This window comes from Homo sapiens, chromosome 2 (assembly GCF_000001405.40).
Source record: "Homo sapiens chromosome 2, GRCh38.p14 Primary Assembly".
Lineage (NCBI taxonomy): Eukaryota > Metazoa > Chordata > Mammalia > Primates > Hominidae > Homo > Homo sapiens.
Window position 1 is genome coordinate 97,623,775 of NC_000002.12, and position 6,000 is coordinate 97,629,774.

Genomic DNA, 6,000 nt, shown 5'->3' on the forward strand with positions numbered 1-6,000 from the left:
ACAATGCCACCTGCCAGCCACTGAGGAGCAGAGGGGATGGGGGAATGGGGGGAGAGGGAGGGGAGCTTGGCACCGGGAATGGGTCTGGGACGCCTCCCCCAAAAACCCTCCCCCCACAAGCCCATGTCCCTCAGCCTCAGGAACCAGAGGGGCCATGGGTGAGGGGGAAGGAGCAAGAGAGCTGAGTCAGAGCTCACCCTGGGCAAAGGTGTGGACTGCTGGCTCAGGGTCGACCAGGGCTCCTTTGGAAAGCAAAAAACGACCGGGGATTAGAGGACTTTGGAGACTAGGAAGGTGCTTTGTCTGTCTTGGGGGCCGGGAGCGGTGCCAGGAGCATCATGGATTGCTGGGGAGCTGGGCCAGGCTCCTGGGCTCCCACCCTGCTCCTCTGAGAGCGGACAGCAGGATTGAGTAAGCGCTGTGCCCTCTGAACTTTTCTGGAGCCCCATGGAGCTGGGATCCAGGTGCTGAGCTGCCCTGGCCACAGCACACAGATGCTGAGAAGTCAGTGAGGCCTTTTAGGAAGGCAAGCTGCAGGCAGGGGCTTGCCTTCCTAAGACCTGAGCTCCCAGGCAGGGTGTGCAGGGGAAAAAAGGCCACAGGCTGCAGCCAGGAGTTGCTTTGTTTTTCTTTATTATTGCAGTTTAAAGACTTTTTTTAATTGTACAAGAACATCTCTTTTTGTTAGAAAAAAAAACCCTGAAGTATTACAGGCAGTGTTAATATGTCTCTTAACCACCTAACCCTCCCACAAAACAAATATCTGTTTCTAGAGGTAACCACTTCAGCTACTACCGTTTAATAAAAATAATACATGTCACCCTCCAAAAAAATACACTTCAAGCCATACCAAATGTCTAAGATAAAATGTTTCCCTTTCCCTAATAATCATGAACAATTTCTCGGGTACTCCTCTGGATCTTTTAAAATTCATATTCATATTCAGGCACCAGATAGTTGTTGTTTTCTCATAAATAAGAATCGATACTTAATGATAGGAATAATAGGTCCTGCTCTGCATCCTCCCCACCTCCTGGGTTCCTGTGACGCCTCGGCTTCTCCTTGCACACCCAGAGAGACCCAGCCAGGGCCCCGCACTTTCTTCACCCTTTTCCCTGGGGGTGGACGCCCGTGGTCTTTCCTGTTATTTCCCAGGCAGCACAGGAGAAGCACACATACCCTCAGTCCTGGGTGCATGTAGGGTGACTGCCCCCGAGGTCGCCACTCAGCGGGTCCTGGGCAGCTTCCGCAGGGACTTGGCCTCTGCTTCCTCCACTGCAGCTGGGGGGTTGGACTGGATCTAGTCCATTCGAACCTCCCCAAGGATGGGCAGGGGGCACACCCCTCCCACTGTGCCTGTCCTAGCAGATGACCCGGACCCGGAATGTGGGAGCACCAGGGGTTTGCTCTGGGCCAAACACCCCTGGACACCCCTGCTCCTCTGCCCCCACCCCCTCTTTACTTCTTCTTTCCCTCCCAATACCACAAGTCCCCACACCATGGCAGAGACAGGAGCCTGTGTGGCCAGCAAGCCCAGCGAAGGGGGCTCAGGTGTCATCTCCACCCCCAGCAGAGGAGGGAGAACACCCCCAGCCAGCTTTGCAGCTCCCCCATTTCTCCCTCTCCCGCTGCTGCTACTGGTTCAAAAGATAAAATAAAAACCCTCTGCATCAACAAATAAAATAAAATCACAATAAAAAATTTATATTCCTGGGATGTAGGTCTTTCCAAACAGGAGCAGCTGCTGCCAGAGCTGAGTCTGTCAGAAGCAGGGCGGGGCTTTTTTTCTTACTAGGAGTTTCTTTTTTGTTCTTTTTTTCCCAAGGAGGCACATCCAGTTAAAATACATTCCTGGAATGGGAGCTCCATGCGCTTTCCTGGTCATCAAAGCTGCCGTTTGTTAGCATGTTCTTTGCCTGTTATCTTGTTTGTTTGTGAGGATTGCTGGAGTTTCTTTTTTGAGATAGAGTTTTAGGCTGTTGCCCAGGCCAGAGTGCAGTGGCGCGATCTCACCTCACTGCAACCTCCACCTCCAAGGTTCAGGCAATTCTGCTGACTCAGCCTCCCAAGCAGCTGGGATTACAGGCGTCTGCCACCACACCCAGCTAATTTTTTGTTTTTAGTAGAGATGGGGTTGGGTTGCTGGAGTTCCTGAGTGACAGGATGTTGCAGCAGAGGTGGTGAGTGGCGGGGAGGGGGGTATCCATGAAGTCAGGAGAGCTGCCTGGCAACTGGAAGCCAAAGGGGTCAACCCACCAGCCCCTCTGGAGACAGCTGTCTGCAGCTCAGACCTCGTTGAATACGGCAGCCACTCATTCGGCTAAACGTGGGGATGCATTAAAGACATTTGCAGACATCCTTTCTTCTATTGCACCTTTTCTCAGGAAACTTTTAGAAGCATTCCGTCAAAACTACAGACTAGAACATGAGTCACCCCCTGCACGATGCCCAGTCCTGTCACTGGGCAGTTTCCTGAAAGCTGCTACCATCCCCCATCTGAGTTCCAGATGCAGTGCCAAGGCTGGGCTGGGGGCACAGGGAGGAGCTGGCCCAGTGAACGGAGCACAAACCAAGACAGCCCAGTGAGGGGTCCCCAGCGAGAGATAGAGCAAAGGGGTGCATTCAACATTCAAGTTCCCAAGACCCCTACAACACAGGCTGTACCCAGTGTTGGCATGTGGTAAGGGGCCTGTTGTGCAGGTTGGCCACTGCTCAACTGAAAAAAAAGTGGCAGCTGCCAGAGGCTGGCCTTGAACCAGGGAAGCTACCCACTCTTTAGCCATCACTCTGCACTCTATTATGTTGCCATTACGGAATGAGAGTGGAGCCCGGATATTGCCCCAGACCTCGACCCTGTGAGTTCAGTGCCACTGGCTGCCCAGAGCCCCTCTCTGTCTGTCTCTCCTTGGCCTGGAGGAGAGTGTGGCCACAGGTAGTATCCAAAGCCTTTCCTTAGGGCCTTCTCCTGACCTATCCTGCTTCCCGGGCTCAGGGGACATCTCCCGGAGTTCCAACCACACGACTGAAGATCCAGCGAGCCTCATGGAAGGGGTTGTGTGTTGTCTTTCCCACGTCCCTTTCTTCTCTCTGTCCCTCTGCCCCTCTGCCCCTTCCCGTGCCTGGGAGAGCTCCAGAGTCACCTTCCTCCATCACAGAGCAATTGAGCTCCAGGCCTACAACCCTAAGATGGGCAAACCCAGCCCATCTTTGGCTCAGCCAAATCTTCCAGGTCCCAGCCACCCACCCACTTGCAAACACACATACATCTTCACCCCACAGGTGACCTGTGCCATACTCCTAGGGGTGTTCAAACTCAGGGGAAGGGGTGGTGCTCCCTCAGGGAACAGCGCCATGACTCTACGACAGTCAGTACTGGCAGCTGTCAGAGCTGTCATTCCCTGAGTGCAACTCTTAATGAGGGCCTATTAAGTCTCCTCTTATGACTGCATAATTGTTGCCACAAGGAGGCTTTGTTCTCTTTATTTTGGAAATGAAACTGTTTTATATCCCTAAAGCAAGAGAGATGGACACCAGCTTGGGGCGCACTGGAGAACACAGAACGGCAGGGCAGGGGCTCCACTGGGTTGGGGCTCTGGTGTCCCCAGGCTACTGCAGACACAGCCCTGAGCCCAGGGAGCAGCAGCTGTTGTTTCTGCAGCAGAGCGGAGCGGCCAGGTCAGCTCCAGCCCTCCTGTGAGCTGTGGGAAGTTGCCACAGGCCCACCGGCCCTCCTCACTTCTCCTGTAGCTCCCAGCAACTGTCATCATGAACCATCTGCACCCTCACCACCCCTTAGGGGCTGGGCAGTGGTAGGGCTCTTATTCCCATTGACCATGAGAAAACAGAGGACGCTGGTTGGCCTGGCCAGGGTCCCTCAGGTGTAAAGGGAGGATTAACAGGAAGAAGAAGTTGAGCATGTCCTATGTCCGAGGCACATCTGCTCTAAGTCTTCACATACACGACCTCACCTGCTCACTACCACAGGCTGCAGAGGAGGAGCTGAGCTCCCATGTTAAGGTGAGGCTTGGAGGCATTAGGTGAAGTGTCCAGTACAACAGCTTCTATGTGACCAGCTGGGCTTTCAGTCCAGACATTTCTACCTCTCCAGCTTCCCATCCTCAAGAATGTGGCTGGGCCAGACCCAGACTCTGAGGACATTCAGGGACACTGTGCCTCGCCAGCCCTCTGAAGTGCTCAGAACGTATGTCCCGACCCCACTGAATGCCAGGAACCATGCACTGGGAAGTGGGTGGACAGGAGAGACAAGACATGCTCCTTCCCCAAGAGGAGGCTGCAGGCAGCAAGGGAAACCCTTAGGTAAGCTCGGAACAGCCGTCCACCACTGGGACCATGAGCTGCATCCTGCCTTGGGGGGCCGCTTTGGTGGGAGTGTGCTGGGCAGAGAAGAAGGGAAGGACATCCAGGCAGAGGGGGCACCTGGGCAAAGGCTCGAAGGTGCAGAGGTGAGAGGCATTTGGGAGCTGGTGAAGGCATTGGGGGTGGCCTCCAATTGAATAATATGCATTTAAGTTTCCTTCTTGTCTTTTCATGGCTTAAAAGCTCATTTCTTTTTAGTGCTGAATAATATTCCATTGTCTGGATGTACCACAGTTTGTCCACTCACTTACTGAAAGACATCTTGATAGCTTACAAGTTTTGGAAATTCGGAATAAAGCTGCTAAAAACATCCATGTGCAGTTCTTTGTGTGGATGTACATTTTCAACCCATTTGGATAAACAGAATGGACTTGCAGTTGCTGGATTACATGGTAAGAGCATACTTAGTTTTCCAGTTTCTTCTAAAGTGTCTGCACCACTTTGCATTCCCACCAACAGTGAATGAGAGTTCCTGTTGCTCCACATCATCACCAGCATTTGGGGTTGTAAGGGTTTGGATCTGGGCCATTTTGATAGGTGTGTAGTGCTATCTCATTGTTTTAACTTGCAGTTCCCTAATAGCATATGATGTTGAGCATCTTTTCATATGCTTCTTTGCCATTTGTATGTCTTCATTGGTGAGTTGTCTATTCTGGTCTTTTGCCCATTTTTAATTGGGTTATTCATTTGCTTATTGTTGAGTTTAAAGAGTTCTTTATACATTTTAGATAACAGTCCTTAAAAGAATTCATTGTTGGCTGGACATGGTGGCTTACCCCTGTAATTTCAGCACTTTGGGAGGCTGAGGCGGGCAGATCACCTGAGGTCAGGAGTTCGAGAACAGCCTGGCCAACATGGCAAAACCCTGTCTCTACTAAAAATACAAAAAAAATAAAAAATGAGCCGGGTGTGGTGGCACATACCTGTAGTCCCAACTATTCGGGAGGCTGAGGCAGGAGAATCCCTTAAACCTGGGAGGCAGAGGTTGCAGTGAGCTGAGATTGTGCCACTGCACTCCATCCTGGGCTACAGAGAGAGACTCCATCTCAATTTTAAAAAAATGTATTGTTTAGTGCATGTATTTATTTCCTTTTAAAAAGGTTTATTGACATTTAATGTCTTCTTATTTTCTTGGCAGTGTGTTCCACAGAGCAGAAGTCTTTAATTTTAATGAAGTCCAGCTTATCAAATATTTTCATTCACGAATTTCACCGTTGATGATGTATTTTAAAAGTCATCACTGTACCCATGATAATCTAGATTTTCTCCTATGTTATCTTGTAGAACTTTTATAGTTTTGCATTTTGCATTTAGGTTTTTAATCCATTTTGAGTAAATTTCTATGAGGGGTATATGGTGTGTGTCTAGATTCTTCTTCTTCTATTTTTTTTTGCGTTTGTGTGTCTATGTCTATTTGTTCCAGCACCTTTTGTTGAAAAGATTGATTTTGCTCTACAGTTTTGCCTTTGATCCTTTCACAAAGATGAGCTGACTGTATTTTATGGGGATCTATTTCTAGGCTCTCTGTTCCATTTATCTACTTGTCTATTCTTTCACCAATCCACACTGTCATGATTATGATCGTTTTATAGCAAGTCTTGAAGCCAGGTAGCATCAGCCCTC

At 50.2% G+C, this 6,000-nt stretch overlaps 1 annotated feature.

Annotated features, from left to right (window-relative positions):
- Window positions 2,059-2,259: a silencer, noted in NCBI's record as "peak3795 fragment used in MPRA reporter construct". NCBI's record gives its function as "represses an SCP1 promoter by STARR-seq MPRAs in K562 erythroleukemia cells {active_cell/tissue: K562}" and the evidence as "EXISTENCE:reporter gene assay evidence [ECO:0000049][PMID:32103011]".